Source organism: Homo sapiens, chromosome 5, assembly GCF_000001405.40.
Source record: "Homo sapiens chromosome 5, GRCh38.p14 Primary Assembly".
Taxonomy (NCBI): Eukaryota; Metazoa; Chordata; class Mammalia; order Primates; family Hominidae; genus Homo; species Homo sapiens.
In genome coordinates, this window is record NC_000005.10 from 66,566,412 (window position 1) to 66,585,378 (window position 18,967).

At 39.1% G+C, this 18,967-nt stretch overlaps 1 pseudogene; it reads left to right on the plus strand.

Moving 5' to 3' along the window:
- On the plus strand, positions 5,609 to 6,338 carry PPIAP78 (peptidylprolyl isomerase A pseudogene 78; annotated as a pseudogene).
- The last annotated feature ends 12,629 nt before the right edge of the window (positions 6,339 to 18,967 follow it).

Here is an 18,967-nt window from a genome sequence, read left to right on the forward strand (position 1 = left end):
TTAAGTAGCATACAATTTTTTGAAAGTTGATTACTCCAAAATAATCTGGGAACTTTCTCTAAGATATTTTGTAGTTCTATATTAAAATATATACATATATATGTAAATATATTTATAAAATAATGAATAAGTTTTGTACTATGTTTGTTAAGGTAGCATTTTGTTATTATTCAATTTCATTAACCTTTAAAATGTGAGATCTATCAGGAGGCAGTCAGGGAAGTTTTCCTACGAAGATCTTACCAAAGCTGAGACCTACAGAACAAGTGTCAGTAAGCCAGAGAAAGCCAAGAAGGGGAGAGGGTGTGTTCTGTAAAGGGAAACAGCACATACAAAGGCTGGGAGAGGTAGGGCGTGGTGGCTCATGCCTGTAATCCCAGCACTTTGGGAAGCCAAGGTGGGTGCATCACCTGAGGTCAGGAGTTTGAGACCAGCTTGGCCAACATCGTGAAACCCTGTCTCTACTAAAAATACAAAAATTAGCTGGCGTGGTGGTGCATGCCTTTAATTCCAGCTACTCAGGAGGCAGAGGCAGGAGAATTACTTGAACCTGGGAGGCGGAGGTTGCAGTGAGCTGAGATGGTGCCATTGCACTCTAGCCTGGGTGACAGAGCAAGACTCCATCGCAAAAAAAAAAAAAAAAAAAAAAGGCTGGGAGACAAGAAGCAATGGGTTGGGAAAGCTGGGCTAGTGCTTCCCAACCTGCATTGAAGAGGGAAGCCTAGAAGTAGGATGGAAGGGGGTAGAAGAGTAAGCAGGAGTATGACAGTGGAGAACCTTATATGTTCAACAAGGAGTCCAGGCTTTATCCTGAAGCCAATGGAAGAAGAGGGGATAATAAAGGCCTTTGAACAGGACTGAGACAAGATTAGATTTTTGGAGGGTGAATTGGAAGAAAAAGACTGGAGGCAGGAAGACCAAGGGGACGCTGATGTAATAAACCAGGGAAGAGAAGATGGCAGTGTGAACTTAGGCAAAGGTCGTGGAGAACTGAAAGAGATGATGGACTAGACAGTTACTTGGACTGGATTTAGTGACTGGCCAATGAGGGGATGAGAAAGAGGGGAGAATCCTATTCCACCTTGGCCACAGCCTGTGGGTCCAGGATGTTTTGTAGGTAGAAATGAGTTTTAGATATATGAGTCTAATTATACATATTTTAGGTAAATTTGCTGTAGAGACCAAGATAGCTTTTCCTTTCAAATCTCTACTGCATGAAATCACCTTCTAGCTTAGACATCTTAAAATGCAAATCTCAGGAGGCTTACTTCCTCAGGGAGGTACATCTGTTCTTTCTACCAATTGGCGTGGGTTTTGGACCTTGTTATTTTTGAATCAGTTACAGTCTCCCTGCCAGCTGAGGGCACATAACGTTTCATTACTGGCAATACTGGAGTCAAGGAGCACTGCCTATCCTAACTCTAAGTCTGGAGTTAGAGCCCGTTGAGTCTGTGGTAGTTCCTTTTGCTTTTGATATTTAGTTAGCAGGAAAACTGAGAGGATATTGAATTTCATTAACACTTCCTTAGAAGCACATTTCCTTAGAAGCATGAATATTGCTTGGATTCTGAACACTCTGAATCTTCACCAAGAGAAGAAACAAAATGCCGTGGCAAAACGGTAGGAGTTGTCTTTGGTTCTCCTTTAGCTCCAGTCCATTTCTTGACATAAACTTCCTCCATCCTTGCAGACCTACCCCCCATTTGGTATCTGTTGACCTTCATTGTGCCCTAAGCTGCCTTCCCCTCCCCTTTTCTTGAGAATTTTACATATTTTGCCTTTCCACGTTGAACTATGTATATCCCCTTCCTCGTCGGCACTCCCCACCATAATTGTGCTGTTGTATTTCATCCATAAGACAGACACTCTGCCCTATTCCAGCTCTTAAACCCTAGTGTGCTTCAGAATCACTGGAGATGCTTATTAAACTCCTGGGCCACTCGTCCTGTATCTCTGAATCAGGAAAGCTGGGCCAGGGCCTAGGAATCTGCATTTTAACAGAAGGTACCCTCCCCTGCTCCAGGTGATTCTGACTTGGTAAGGAGACCACTCTTTGAGCAACCCCACAGTCTGCTGTAGCAGAGCAGCCCTGCTTTTTGGACAGGAGACCTGGGTTTAGTTCCAGTGATGCCCTCCACCAGTCCTGTGGCTTTGGGGAAGTCACTTCAACTCCCTGGGCTTCTATTTCCTCATCTAAATCCTGGAGAAGCTGGGAGATACATTACACTGGAGACCTAAACTCCCTTGCCCCATGGCCTTCCCTTCTTTCCTGGCTGGAAAACCCCAAATCTGGATGGCTCTACACTCTGCCTTCTCTTTCCTGCACCCAGGCTACTAAATGTGCTGAGAGAAAGTCACAGGCCCAGGCCAATGGTGCTGCTCAGACTAGCTTTCAACATCATGCAAAGGATCATGGCCCTCCTCCTGTCAGCAACCTCTCTCCTGCATTACCAAATGCTCTTCTTTCTCCTCAAATGTCAGGCCCAGCCATTCCTCCTGCATCTTAACATGTGAACTTACCTTTCAACCTACAGTGAAAGTAGAAGCCACAACAGGAAATCCCTTAACTTCCTACCACACACCTGCAAATGCACCAGCTTCCATACCTGTCCTTTCCTGCTTCCTTCTATTGCATTGTCTCTCCTCTGGGATATATCATTTTTATCTCAGATGCTCGGGATCTTGCTCTTTCAGGTTCCTCTGTCTCTCCTGTATCTTCCACCTCTTCCCCTCTTCAGTTATATTCCTACCACCCAGAGATTTGTGCTGTTAACATATTGATATAATCCTTTCAGGTTTTTAAAAAGTATGTGTAAGAGTACATTTTATTATACCTCATTGGAATTTTTATCAATTAAAGTTCAAAATGAAGTAGGGGGAGCAGAGTTACTATGTTATAGGACTTATAGGAATTCGGCCTTACAATTGTGGGAGGAGAGAAATGAAGGCCCAAGACGAGAAAATTGGAGGAAGAGAGCAGTCATTTTCAGTCATCTGAGAAGCCAAGTGTTTCCTCCTGGATTATCCAGGTGGGTCCAATGTGACAACAAGCGTCCTTATAAGAGGGAGGCAGAAGGATGTGACTACAGTAGTAGGAAATATGATGACAACTGGAGCCACGCGAGGGTGGGGACCTGAGCAACACATGCAGGTGGCCTCCACAACTTAGAAAAAGCAAGGGAATGAATTCTCCCCTAGAGCCTCCAGAAGATACCAACCCTGCTGACACCTTGCCGTTAGCCCAGAGAAACTGATTTCAGACATCTGGACTCCAGAACTGTAAGAAAATAAGTTTGCATTGTTTTAAGCCACTAAGTTTGTGGTAATTTTTTGTAAGAGGCCTAGGAAACAAATGCACATATCCAGACACAAAGGGAGACCACCAAGGGAGCATCTCTGGAGAAGTCTGTTGAAAGCTGCTGCCTCTGTAGTTATGTGCTCTAGGGATCTGCAGGCAGCTGGTGCTGGGCCTGGGACCACTGTTGGTTGGTCAGCGGGCTAGAAACAAGAGGACCTGGACACAGAGCGGAGAACTGGACCCCACTAGACACTCCTTTGTCTGTCCTTACTACATCTGACCGTAAATACCTGCAGAAAGCAATGGCCACTTTGTCACCTCTAAATTTCACACAAGCTCCTCTTGAGCCAGCTTTAGCCCATATAGGGAACAGAACTCTGGGACCTATAGTTTCCACCTTAACCAAGTTGACACAGCACATTCCAATATAGGATCGTATGGTTTTATTGGTTTCCCAACATACTGAACATTATGGTAAGAGCAGTTTGCTATATCATGGGATATTCTTCCAAACTAATTTAGAAGAAATTCTGATGAACCATTATTTATTTAACTTTCCTTCTATTATTGTTAACTCAGGATGTTTTCTGTTTTTCTCTATCACAGACAGTGCTGCAGCAACTCTCTGTGCATACAAATATTTGTCAGTATCTCTGACATTTCCTGGGAATGGATTCCTAGAAAGGAGATTACTAAATTAAAGGAAGTGAATTTCTACGGAGCTTGATGATTCCTGCCAAACTGCTTTCCAGAAGTGATGTATCAGTTTTCATTCCTATTAACATTGGGCTCAGGCCAGCATTGAATATTATATTTTAAATCTTTTCAAAGAGACATTTCTTGACTATCTCTGATACTGGTGATCATTACTGGCTCAGGAATTGGATGTAAAGTGAGCTAGCTGGACTGGTGACACCTTCCCTTTACCTCCATGGGTTCCTACACCTTCAGAAGCTGCACCCTTGATGAAAGGGGACAACATGTTCTGGTGAGGAATCTAGCATCCTTCAGTCAAGAGCTTGGGGGAAGTATGTTGCTTAAAAATTAAATACATCCTGAGTAAACACGTTACGCACAAGAAAAAGTACTGTTCCTATATCAGAAATATAGAAACGGAAATAGAAAGCAAGTGACTTTCCCAGGTATAGCTAGCAAGTCCCTAGCAGGGTCACACTTAGCATTTACTTTCCTAAAATTTTCCATCATGATTTAAGACATTTCAAAGCATCTATATTGTGCCAAAAATTAGATTCTGCATCACACATAGGAAAGCACAATTTTTGGCTTATTTCTTAAATACTAAATCACATTAATTGGCTGTTTCCCATTGCAAATATTTGAATTAATAAGGATCTTTTTATCACATGTAATTTTAAATGATCTTTTAGTTTTTCAGCTTTGCTGCAACACAGATGGAACTAAAACAAAATTGTATAATGCTGAAGTGACCCAAGGAGAAAACCTCTCACATAATTTTGTGCAGAGAGTGAGTAAGCAGTCTATGCCACATCTTCCCCAAATTTATATTTTAGCTGAAATGTAATGGTTAGACAGATAGTCAGTAATTGGTACAGTGAGAAGAGAAATTAGTTCTGACTTATCTTCTCTCCAAACTGCAAAGTGTATTTTTATATACAATTTCAGAATGATAATAAAATGATCTAGTTTCCATTTATCAAAATGAGCGATGCTGAATGTCTGATGACTGGCTTGCTTTCTGAAATCTTATTTTAGAGTTATCAGACTGTCTGAGATCTTTGGGAAACTTCTGCATTAAGTGAGCCAATTGGCAAATAAACATCTACTTAACATGTACAAAACTATACAAGGCTGAGATACAGAGGATGTGGCAGAGATGATCAGTGGTCATCTCAGAATGGTCTCTGAACCAGCAGCATCAGCAGCACCTTGGAACTGATCAGAAATGCTTACCTTACACATATTGGATCAGAAACTCTATGGAGAGGCTGGGCAGTTGTGTTTTAACAAGCCCCATGATGTACGCTAAAGTTATCTAAGAACTCTGATCCCAAGAAACAACTTAAAATACACACACACACAGGAGTCAGCTCTGGAAAAGAGGAAATATTGTGTCATTAGCATATCAGAAAATTTGAAGAAGCCCTGAAAGAGCAAAGCTGATGTGTTCACATTCGCAGAGGAAACCATAGCCCAAATAATGTAGAAAAAAAATATATTAGTAAGGGAATGAGAATGTTTTAGGAGGAACTCCAGAATAGGAGAATACTAAAAATGGCAGGGGCAAAAAAAGAAAAAAAAATCAAAGAAATAATATAAGAAAAATTCCCAGCGGAAGCCACAGACGCCAGGAGCCCTGTACTCTCAGCCATGGTGAATCCCACCGTGTTCTTCCACATTCCAGTGGACAGCGAGCCCTTGGGCCGCGTCTCCTTCAAGCTGTTTGCAGACAAGTTTCCAAAGACAGCAGAAAACTTTCGTGCTCTGAGCACTGGAGAGAAAGGATTTGGTTATAAGTGTTCTTGCCTTCACAGAATTATTCCAGGGTTTATATGTCAGGGTGATGGCTTCACACGCCATAATGGCACTGGTGGCAAGTCCGTCTACGGGGAGAAATTTGATGATGAGAACTTCATTCTAAAGCATACAGGTCCTGGCATCTTGTCCCTGGCAAATGCTGGACCCAACACAAACGGCTCCCGGTTTTTCATCTGCACTGCCAAGACTGGGTGGTTGGATGGCACGCATGTGGTCTTTGGCAAGGCGAAAGAAGGCATAAATATTCTGGAGGCCATGGAGCGCTTGGGTCCAGGAATGGAAAGACCAGCAAGAAGATCACCATTTCTGACTGTGGACAACTCTAATAAATTTGACTTGTGTTTTATCTTAACCACCAGACCATTCCTTCTGTAGCTCAGGAGAGCAGCCCTCCACCCCATTTGCTCGCAGTATCCTAGAATCTTTGTGCTCTTGCTGCAGTTCCCTTTGGGTTCCATGTTTTCCTTGTTCCCTTCCATGACTAGCTGGATTGCAGAGTTGAATTAAGTTTATGATTATGAAATAAAAACTAAATAACAAAAAGAAAGAAAAATTCCCAGAGCTGAACAATGACACGTTTTCAGATTAACAGTTCCCACAAAATGCTAAGCAGGTTGGAATAGACACATCTTGATGAAATATCAGACACTAAGGATGAAGAGAAAGTTTCTAGAGAGAGAGGAGAAAAAAGAGGTTACTTAAACAGGAGAATCAGTTTGGCATCAGAATTCTCATCAGAAACGCTGAAGACTAACAGGCACTAAGGAATCACTTCAAAAATTTATGAAAAATATTTTGAAAAAAGTATTGGGTTCCTGGAAAAACTAACATTCAAGTTAGAGGGCAACAAGAAAATGACAGTTTTAAGCGCAAGAAAGTCTTGTTGCATTAAAGAATTTATGAAGGGGTTAAAGTTTAAAAATATTGAGCCAGTTGGGAAACAGTATTTTAGTTTGAGAGAAAGAAATATTTGGATTTCTGTCAGAATAATTCCCAAGAGAACATTTAAGAAAATTACACATTTTAAAAAACAAAAGCAAGAATAAAAGAGAGAGAGAGAAAGAGGAAGAGGACGGAAGGAGGGAAAGGGAGGGAGGGAGGAAGGAAGAAAGTAAGGAAGGAAAGGGAACGAAAGGGAAGGAAAGAAGGAAGGGAAGGAGGAGAGGAAGGAGGGAGGAGAGGAAGGAGGGAGGGAGGGAGTGAGGAAGGAAAGGGAAGGAAAGAAGGAAGGGAAGGGGGGGCAGGAGGGAGGGAGCAGAAAAGGGAGGGAGGGAGGAGAAAAGGGAGGGAGGGAGGGAGGGAGGAAGGAAGGAAGGAAAATTTAGGAACAAGTTCAGATTTAGCAGCTTAGTTAAGTGGCAGAGAAAAGCTATTACCCTCTCATATCCATTTAGTGGCTTATGTGAAATGAACTGGTTTTGAAGTCCAGTTTCTTCCACTTGGAATTTTGGGTTTTACATGCACAGCAAGTGTGGCTAGTACTGCATCCTTGTCCTCCCTTCCATGGCAAGGGCAAAGGGCAAAAAACAGATGGACTTCCCTAAAGATTCATCATTGTCACCAGAAGAATAGCTGGGTTTCCTATAAGAGACTAGATGCCGTCTTCCTTCATTTATGCAACTGGGGGACAGGAAAGGTATTGTTTGTCCTGTGCATCAGTAGAGCACTGGTTTCCTTGCATATCCATATAGAACAGCTGGTTGTACTCACTTTGTCTCCCTTATTCCAGCATACAGAGAGTGTACAACTCAGCCATTCAGTGACAGTAGTTTTTTGACCCTGAAATATGTAAACAGAAGGATGGTCCAAAGGAATCACGAAGTAATCCTCTCATAAAAGTAGTAATAGCTAGCTTTGTGTACAGACAGATTTCACATAATTCTGATGCAAGCTTCACAAACAGTCCCATGAGGTGAGAAAGAAATATAATCATTATATATTTTTTTACAGAAGAGTAATTTTAGGCTCAGAGGATTAAATAAAACATTCAAGAACATGCAGCAAGTTAGTCAGTCTGTCTCACTTAGTGAGGACTTTCTGTGTGTCAGAACTTGCTGTTCTGAACACGTCTTTTAAAAAGGGAGGTAAGTCCCTCAATGGGGAATGTATTGGCTAGCAGAGGCAGATGGGTGGTAAACATGTAAGGACATTAGCCATAAAGATAACTTTAGATATGGGAGATTGCCATGAAGAGGATAAAGTAAGTCAAGTCACAGGGGATGACTTGAGCTACGGTGGGAGAGGGGCTGCTGCTTCAGCGTGGGTGGAGTTGGGGAAATTCTCTGGATTGAGACCTGAATGTTGAGAGGAAGGCATAAGAGGATTGGAGAAAGAGCAACCCTTGCAGAGGAACAAACCCCTTGAGACAGCAATGAACTTGGCATGTACAAGGGGTACAAAAACAGACCAGTGTAGCTGGAACGCAGTGAACAAAGACAAGGCTGGTAGGAGACAGGGTCCAAGAGGTAGGAAGAAGCCAATCATGTAGAACTTTGTGAGCTATGATAAGGAGTTTCGGTTCGGGTTTTATTCTAAGTGTAATGAGAAGTTTTGTTTATTTGTTTTCTTAAACATCTTTACTAAGGTATATTTTTACATCATAAAATTCAACTGTTTTGAGTGTGCAATTCGATGATTTTTATAATTGAATTAATTAATTTATAATTATAATTATATATTAATTATAATTCAGGAGAGCAACCATCAACATAAATCAGTTTTAGAACATTCTTATTCTTCCAATAAGATCCCTCAGCCCACTGACAGTTATTCCTTTTTCCATGCAACTGCTAGTCTACATTCTGCCTCTCTAAATTTGTCTTTTCTGGGCATTTCTATAAATAGAATCATACAATATATGGACTCTGGTGCCTGGCTTCTTTCACCAGGCATAATGTTTTTGAGGTTAGGTAGGATATGTTAGTAGTCTGCTGTTTTTTATTGCTGAACAGTGTTCCATTGTATGGATATGCCACAATTTGTTTATCCATTTATCTGTTGATGAACAGGTAGGTTGTTTCCAGTTTTTGACTGTTGTGAATAATGAATGCTGCTATGAACAGTTGTGTACAAGTCTTTATGTGGACATGTTTTCTTTCATTCCTCTTGAATACATACCTATAAGTGGAATTGCTGGGCTATATAGGAATTTCAGACATTGCCAAACTGTTTTCCAAAGTGACTGCACCATTTTATATTCTCACCAGGAATGTACGAAGCTTCTCATTTCTCAACTCACCAACATTTTTTGTTGTCTGTCTTATTTATGGTAACCATTCTAGTGGGTATGCAACTATATCTCATTGTGGACTGAATTTGCATTTCCTTAATAGTCGACTAATGATGTTGATCATCTTTTCACGTCCTCCATTACCAATGGAAGAGTTGTAAGCAAGGGAAAAGATATGATATGATTTGTGCTTTGAAGACCAATCTGGTTACTAAATGGCAAGTAGACTATGGGCAGTTGGCCAGTTAGGAGATGATTGCTATAATCCAGAGGGAGATAATAGTGTCTCAGACTTGGGTTATAATAATGGAGGTGAAGAGAAGGAGTTTGAATAGAGATACATTATGAAGGTAGAGACAGTGGAAGTGGCTAATGGATTGGATATGGGATGTGGGGAAGAGTGGTATTTAGGCAAACAACTAGGTAGGTAGTGGTGCCATTTTTTTGCCAAGGGGAAGCCTGATGGAGGAGTAAATATGGTGGTGATACTGGGGAGTTGGTCCTAAACAATACCTATTTTGATCACACTACATTTTTGGCATCTATTAGACATCCAAGAGGAAATGTTGAATATGTAATCAGGAGCTCAGGGGAGAGTTCTGAGCGAGAGATAGAAATTTGAGTCATCAGCATATAGAGGGAATTTAAAGCTTTAGGACCCAGGGAGAGTGTGTGGATAAAAGAGAATGGAGTGGAGAATGAAACCCCAGAGGCATTTTGAAAAAGTTGCTTATGGAGATCAGAGGGTAAGGAGGAAAATTTGAAAATTGGGATTGAGGTAAAGTTACGCTAAGGGAAGCATCAAGAAATATGTTCATTGACTGTACTGTCCATGACGTAGCCACTAACCCATGTGGTTCAGTGAGCACTTGAAATGTGGCTTGTTGAATTGAGATGTAAGTACAAAATACATATTGAATTTGGAATACTTAGACAAAAACAGAAAAGTCTCAGTAATAATTGTTGAAATGATATTTTAGATATACTGGGTTCAATAAACTGTTATTAAAATTAATTTCACCTATTTGTGCTTTTAAAAATGTGGATACTAGAACATTTAAAATTGCATATGTGGCTCATATCATATATATATTTTTGGGGGGCAGTACTAGTCTATAATGTTCTACCCACAGTCTCATCCTGGTTTTCCAGAAATGTGACTGTGGCACTTTAAGGCCTGTGTAGGAACTTTAATTTATATAAGAATTCTGTATTTCCCCCCTTCTCACTACTGCACTTGACTATTAAAAAAATGTTTTAAAATAATTCTGTAGATATTTGCTACAAAGCTTTCTTAAGGTGCTACTAGGCATAGATGACATCCACAACCTAAAAGAAGAGTGTCAGTGCCTTGGGTATTTTGAGTATGTGTTTACATTGTGCAGACAGAGCAATATTTTAGCAAAGACAAGGCCACATGGATCATTTGATCTTTGTTGAGCTGGGAAACTGCAGTTAAAATGGAGATACTGGCCGGGCGTGGTGGTTCACGCCTGTAATCCCAGCACTTTGGGAGGGCGAGGTGGGCGGATCACTTGAGGTCAGGAGTTCGACACCAGCCTGGCCAACATGGTGAATCCCCATCTCTACTAAAAATACAAAAATTAGCTGGGTGTGGTGGTACGCACCTGTAATCCCAGCTACTCGGGAGGCTGAGTCATGAGAATCACTTGAACCTGGGAGGTGGAGGTTGTAGTTAGCCGAGATCGCACCATTGCATTCCAGCCTGGGCAAAAAGAGTGAAACTCTGTCTCAAAAAAAAAAAAAAAAAATGGAGATACCATATCCTTGATATTTATAAGACCAACATGTCCTTGCTGGCTACAAAAAAGTTCAATCAAATAAATTCTTTCTTCCATCTGGTTAAATACAACTTGATTACATGAAGAGAAACTTAATTGTTTAATAAGGTCACCATATGAATTAGAAATGATTTTTTTCTTTTCTTTATCATCTTTGAGATTCTTTACATACAATAAAAATCAGTTTTTCATCAAGTTCTTGTCCTATTGCTATTATGGCAAGAGTTTCCCTTTAGAAATAAGAAGAATTCCCTTTGGCTGGAAATCATAGAGGCAAACTGTGCAGATATAAGGTGGTGAGACTTCTTCACTCTCTTCCCTCGCCCCAGTGAATGAGGTCATTTGAACAAAGTAATTCCCTCAAAGGGGTAGAGTTACACTGTTTTTGTGTTTTACATGACAGATGATTGGGCAGATTTCATGCATAACCCTGTGGGAGATTTTGCAGTCACAATATAGAAATTTCTCTAGTGCTTCTGATTAAAATACAGAATCAAGAGCTATAGTAACAGCTCATCCATTCAGTTCAATGGAGGATTGGAGGCTGAGTTTTGCATAGAGTTTTGTATGAGTTTTGTATAGGCTGAGGTTGTTAGAAAATGGGAGCTAGGGCCAGGCACAGTGGCTCACACCTATAATCTCACCACTTTGGGAGGCCAAGGCAGAAGGATTGCTTGAGCCCTCGAGTTCAAGACCAGATTGGGCAACATAGTGAGACCCTGTTTCTACAAGAAATATTTAAAAATTAGCTGGTTATGGTGGCACACACCTGTAGTCTCAGCTACATGGGAGGCTGAAGCAGGAAGCTCACCTGAGCCCAGGAGGTCAAGGCTGCAGTAATCTGTGATTGTGCCATTGCACTCCAGCCTTGGTGACAGAGCGAGACCCTGTCTCAAAAAAAAAAAGAAAAAAAAAAAGAAAAAAGTGAAAAAAAAGAGTGTTAGAAAATATTATTAATCTGTCATATTGATCCAGGTTTCCAGGTGGTCATTTCTATAAGGCTAGATCCTGCCTGTCCTACATGTGGAAGTTCTCTGAGATTTTACAGTACCTTCCTCAGACAAACTTTTGGAAGAAGTATGACTTTTCTGGATGTAGAATACAAAAATTGTTCATTTACTGCTTTGGTTCCATGTATGATGACCTTTTCCATTTTAGTTTTCTATAGCCCTTTTAGAGTTCTACTTTCTGTTAATATTTGTAACTGCTCTTAATATTCTATTATTTTGTGTGTTATATAAACACAGTTAACATAAGGAGGAGAGAGTTCAAATTTCTATCACTTAATTTTTGAAGATCTTGAAAAGAGATGGTTCTTTTATTTAGTTCAGGACTGAAGGTAGGGGGTTTTTAAAAACATGCTGCTGGGCTCCTGAGAGTAAGCCTTATGTCAGCAACCCCTTTATATGTTCGATACATTTTAAGGGGAAGAGAGATCATTAAAGAAAGAAAGTGGTCATGCTCTTCAACTCTATAGTCCTGGGAACCAGCCACAGGAATAATAGTGTTCCAGCCAGAGTAATCAGAGCAGATATGGCTAATAGATTTCAACCTGCGTTGAAATAATAAATGATTGATACGAGCTGCCTGCAGCACAGCTGTGTTAGAAAGGATTTTGAGGCCACATCTGGGTTCATAGGACAAAGTGTGATTAATGATGTCTGCCATGGTTGTGAGAGGAGGTAGTGGTGGTAGCCATGCCATGTATTTTTAATCCCTGAATGATAATCTTTGATGAACAGAACTGTTCATCCATGAGGTTTCCAGATTGCAGTCGGAAGATTATGGGCATATTCGGACAGCATGGAGATAAGATGCTAGTTCTATTTGGGCTGATTTTATTCAACTTGTAGTCAGAATGATTTCCTGACTTGCCAGAGCCAGTAAATTGGAGAATAAAGTATGTAATATCTGTATTCCCACTGCTTAGCTTAAACTTAAACACAGGACCATAATGCATCCCAATACAGGCGCAAATAGGATGTTACACAGAAAATGGGATATTAGGCTGTTTGAATTATCATTTTAATAAAAATCTTGTGTTCTAGAAGGTAGGGATGGATTTCTTTTTACTTGCCTTATTTTATGCTTTGTTTAGTCAACACATGGAAATGTAAAGAAGAGAGTAATATTTACCCATAATGCCTCTGCCAGAGATAAATATTGCTAATATTTTGGTGTGGAACCTTCTAGAGTCTTTGCTATGTATATGTTTAAATCTGTTGGGATTATATCATAGATCCTGTTTATAGCCTAAAGTTTTCATTTAACAGAATTTAGACTTCCTTCTAAGTTAATAAATATGACTGCATTATAGTAGTTAATGGATCAATAATACCATCACTTTGATGAATACCCTTGTATATAAATATTGTGTACTAATTACTTCCTTAGCATAATTTTCTAGAAAAGCATTTGCTAGGTCAAATTTATAAATTTTTGTTTTTATTTTAAGGGCTTTGATACTGTCTTCCAAAAAAGCATTAGCAATATACTTGATAATTCTTGAAGAGTATGACATAAAAAGCCCAATGCATTTGCTAAGATTGCTACTCTGAGAGGAAAAGACAGCCCGAGCTGCCCCATCCACACACCCACACAGTCTCTTTCTCTACTCGATGATATTATATATCTAGATTGTAGAGACCGTAATAATTCACAACTGCAGCAGCCAATTCAGAAGCAGGTATGTGCACTTGGAGCCTATGGAGTGGAATTGGATAAGATCACAGCGGGTTGCTCGATTCTACAGACCAAGCATAGTTCCAGCTGTCCCAAGACTGCTGAGCTTCCCCAAGGAACCAAGCAATTCTGCCTTGTACTTCCTAGGACTTGCTGGGCTCATGCAGACATATTATGCAGATCCCCTGCTTCCTTCTATTGATTAATCTTTGAGGTTACCTGCAAGCCTGTGGAGTTTGAGAGGCTGGGGAATGGAGAGCTGAAGTCTAGAGGAAGACTGGGCTTCAATTTCCTGGGAGCGCTTCCCCTCAAAATGAACATTCTAAGGAGGGTGGAGTTAGTGACCTCCTTCAAGGAAGGCTCCCACTGTCAGTGGGTCAGTTTTATTTTATCCAAATGTCTTTTCTTTTCTTTCTTTCTTTTTTATTTGTATAAATTTAAAGGGTACAAGTACAGTTTATTCCTCCTGAGATGTATCTATCTTTATCCCATTCCATCATTTTATTTTGCCTTTGTCATTTGTGGCATCTGAACAAGTGTTCAGTGTTGCATATAAATATAAAAATAAATGACTCATACATCATAGTTAACAGTATCTATAAAAAGAAGGAAATTAAACCTTAAATAATCTATGCCTATACAATTTAGGGGAAAAAGTTGTTACTGTTTCATTTTCAAATAATAGAATCAGTATTTTGTGATTCTAGCTTCAGAGATTTCATTCTCCCTATAAATTGTTGTGTTGGTACCTTTTTAAAACTAGTAACCAGAGCAACTAGAGCTATCTCTGCACATTGGAATGAAGAGTGAGCTAGAAGGCATGATAGAAGACTGTGAGCTCATGATTTGGAGGGCGAGTTTCCAAACACACCCAGCCTGGAATGAACAGTCATTATCAGTGGTAACGGAGTTTAGTTTCTGACCTAGAAAATCCATTGTGGAAACACACACACACACACACACACACACACACACACACACACACACACCCTTCCCAAGATACTAGATAAAGAGAGCACATTTTCAAATTCCATTTGTTTTCTTTTTTCTTTCTTTTCTTTTTTTTTGAGACGGAGTCTAGCTCTGTCACCCAGGCTGGAGTGCAGTGGTGCGATCTTGGCTCACTGAAAACTTCCCCTCCTGGGTTCAAGTGATTCTCATGCCTCAGCTTCCCAAGTACTGGGATTACAAGTGCCTGCCACCATGCCTGGCTAATTTTTGTATTTTTAGTAGAGATAGGGTTTTGCCATGTTGACCAGGCTGGTCTCGAACTCCTGACCTCAAGTGATCCACCTGCCTCAGCCTCCTAAAGTGGTGGGATTACAGGCATGAGCCACCGTGCCTGGCCCCATTTGTTTTCTAAAAACAAATTTAAAAACTTCTAATTTCTTATTATCAGGCTATAAATAGATTTGATTCCTTTCCTAATATGTGTGGACTATGCTATATTGTTTGGAATTGTGCCATTTAACTTGACTTCTTTTTACAAACATTTTGTAGTTTCATTAAATATTTTTCAAAAATATGACTTTTAATGACTGTATAGTTTTCCACAAAATAGATATCAGATTAATTTGACCAATTTCCAAATTATTTCTTTTTTATTATAATAAATTCTATAATAAACATCTGTATACATAAATCTTTCTATGCATTTCTGATTCTTTTCTTAGGATAAAAATTAGAATTGAGCCAGTCTGAAGAATTTTATCCCATTTATATTTTAACTTATTTTTAAAAATTGAGATTATATTGTATATATAGACTGTCACTCAGATTTTTTGCTTGGCAAGCTGTGGGCATTGTTCCATGTCATGAAATATTTATTGAAAACATGATGGTCTGTTTTAGCGGCCACATGATATGTACCTTTTGAATATACCATTATTGACCCTTTTTTAAAGCCATTTTCCTACTATTGAATAATCCAGTTGTTTCTACTTTTTTGATGTTATAAATATTGCCATTGTGGACATCCTTGCACATATACTTTATTTCATTAAGAAAACGTTCTGTCACAGAGCTTCAACAATTACTGGCACATGGCCATGTGTTTTGCCTATAACTTCCAAATCTCCATTTCCCAGTGGATTATTTTGAAGAAAATAGCCCAGGACATTTTTGTTTCATAAAGTACAATAGGAAAGTGATCATTTGGGGGCAGATAACAGCATTACGGGGTCTTTTTGTTGGACATATCTGAAGTTTTTAACTCGGTAATTTCTTAGAAAAGTCTTAGAAGATTCAGAAGAAGTAGAAAACAACATTGTTAAAAAATGTGATTTTCAAGCAAACACATTGTTCTTAATTTTATATTAGTAAATTTTAGGTTTTGCCCGATTGTCTGAAAAAAAAGGGGTCATCATTAGGATATTCTGGCCAAAGACTGAGATAGAGAAAGTAATTGCTGCCCTTCCTAAATAAGCAAATGTTACCTTCTGAATATCCATAAATGGTAAAAAGAGACAATGCTAAATATAACTAGAAGACATATTTACTTTATAAATTGTGTAAAATGTTCTGTAATTTCACTTAATGCTTTTAGTGCTGCATGTAGGAAGAAAGAGAGGAAATGTGTGGTTCATAGGAGGAGAAAAACTGTTCATTATGATTCTCTAGAAATGCAGTAACAGGCTTTTTAGAGTGTGATGTATCATGTACCCACCCACTCTGAGCTGTGTGAGGGAAATTAAAACTATAAACACATCCCTAAAATATTTAAGTACGTCAGAGATCAGGTATCAGTAACAGACACTCCCCATCCTTAGAATCCAGCCATATTATCGCTGCACAGAAAATTGTCAGCCTCTTTCTCACTCACACTCGCCAGCTTCCTCACAGAAGCTCCTTTCCTAGTTAGTCAACAAATATGTATTCATTACTCACAGATGATCCAACAAGATGTTAGGTCTTGCTTTTAAATCTTTCCATTCACAATACTATTAGATCAAAATTATTTTTTCCAAACATAGGACCAATATTTCCTTAGTTCCGTTTTTGAAACCATCTGTTTGCTTCCTCTTTTTTTCCCTCACTAACTTTGAGCCCTTTGGTCTCTCTTTGAAGCAGTCATATTCAGCCTTCTTTTCTTCTCTTGTTTTCTTTAGTAGCTTTTTGTTTTCTTATTTATCCCACCATTTTTTTTTTTATTTTCAACATTATTTTCCCAACTTTGTTCTATTTTTGGGCTGCCACCTAAGATTTGATTGACTCTTATCATCAACCGCTCTCCCTTTACATCCTGGTAAAAAAAAAAAAACAAAAACAAAGCAAAATAAAAACAATAAAAACTACTGTCAAGGCCAAACATTCACCCCTAAAATTATTGCCTTGCTTTTCTGCTAGTGGAAAGTTAGCCCTACTAAGGTAAACTTATTTTATATATCTTTATTAAAAATCATAAGTTCTAACTAGAAAAGGTAACTTTGGAAAAGCTTTGCTTTGTAACCCCAGACCATTTGGAAAGGAATTTTACATACAAAATCGTGATTCAGGATTGATTGCTCAAAACAGAATCAGAGACTTGAAGAGATGGTAAGAATTTCTAGTTTGGGGAAGAGAAATGTCCTAGGATACTCATGCTGTAATTGCAAAGGAAATATCAATTTCCACTAAGATTTGTAGAAATTTGGACAGTGGGTGGGGAGGGAGAGGAACAAGGATGTGTTCTAAAAAGAAGAGACCTAGAGGAGAATTGCTTTATCAATAGCCTAGAAAAATAAGTGGTTGCAGGAATGTTCCATAATCAGAAATAGACAGAGATGTATCAATAAAGGAAAGTGATCCAGAAATTTAAGATTTGATTCTTAGGAGGATAAAGGGTAAGTTAATCCTATTTAAACTCAGGATAAACCCAGGATTAAATTAAGCAGTGATTAATAACAAGGATTATGAGAAAGGAAGATGCAATTGTATCAAGTATCTGACATTTCTTTAAATCATATCCTAATTATATGTCCTATTTAAACAGAGCAATTAGTAATACTAATAAATATTTGTGCTTGTCTGTTTTAATAAAGAATTTTACTTTCACGGACAGAAGCACAATTACAGGGGAAAACATACTGATCTTTCTCACTTAATAATGCTTATGGGATATCATTTCTGGGAGCAACAAAACCATAACCACCACTAACAATATGGCAGCTAACACTATTTATAGTTTAAATGTTTATAGTCCGAGTCCTAGTGATGGAATAGAGTTCTTTAAGAATTGACCTTATTAATAAGTAAGTTGCCTTTTTCCTAACAATAATCATCAGCAAACATTTTAAATTATATAATTTGATCACTTATTATGTGCCTAACCAATGTACTTGTATAATACCTTTGAAATACTATCTAATGTATTTTTTGGTTCCTGTAAAGTCTTAGTTGCCCTGTTTCCTCCCCATTGTATCAAAGGTATTTATTGTCTAAGAAATGTTGTATACTGTCTAGAATAAAGCAAGTTTTACATTAAAGAAAGTTTTCAAAGTCCAAAGCAAAGAAAATAGGAGTGGGAGTTCAGGAAGAGAGTGTGTGGAGTGTTCTAATTATTATTATTGCATAACAAATCACCCCCAAACTCAGTAACTTAAAACAACCATTCAGTTTGCTTATGATTTGGGAGTCAGGAATTTGGGAAGGGCTTGCTGGAGGGATCCTGAGATACTGATGAGGGCTTCAGTCGTCAGAAGGCCTGACTGGGCTGAATGTCCAGGGCATCTTCCTCCTTGAAAAGCGATTATACTAGCGCTCACCTGGGCTCACCAGAGTGTCTACATGTGGTCTCTCCAGCATGGTAGTCTCAGGGTGTTTGGACTTCTTCTATGGTGCCTAGCTTCCCCTAGAGCAACATTCCAAGAAAAACAGGTGGAAGCTACATGGCCACTTATGACAGGACCTTCCAACTTATGCAGCAATCCTTCTTTTGGTTAAGAGCATTCCATTAACTAATAGAGCATTCTATTGGTTAAGAGGAAATCCCTAAAGTCAACCCATATTTAAGCAGAGAGGACCTAAATCCCACCTTTCAGTGGGAGGCATATCAAATAATTGGAGGACATGTTTAAACTGCCCCCTAAGGGACTGGATCTTAGTTCAGTTTTGTCAGATCTATAGACTTCGAGTAGTTGTCAAATTGTTATGGTGGAGAGAAAGGCTGAACAGGATTCTAAGTATATAGACACTTATGGGAGAGAGACTGGAATAGAGTCCAGTGAATAATCTAGTTGGCAAGAGTGCAAGGTTTGTGGAGAGAGGTTGAGAAAGTGAACCTGAAAAGATTGTGGGAATTTGCATGCTAGGCTAAGAATTTTGGTATTTACCTTATTATCAGTGGGTAGCCCTTGACACACAGGAGAGTGGCATGATCAAGGCAGTGTTTCCAAAAGATTGATCTGGCATGGAGGTACAAGATCATTGGAAGGGCCAGACTATAAGAAGGGAAGACATTTA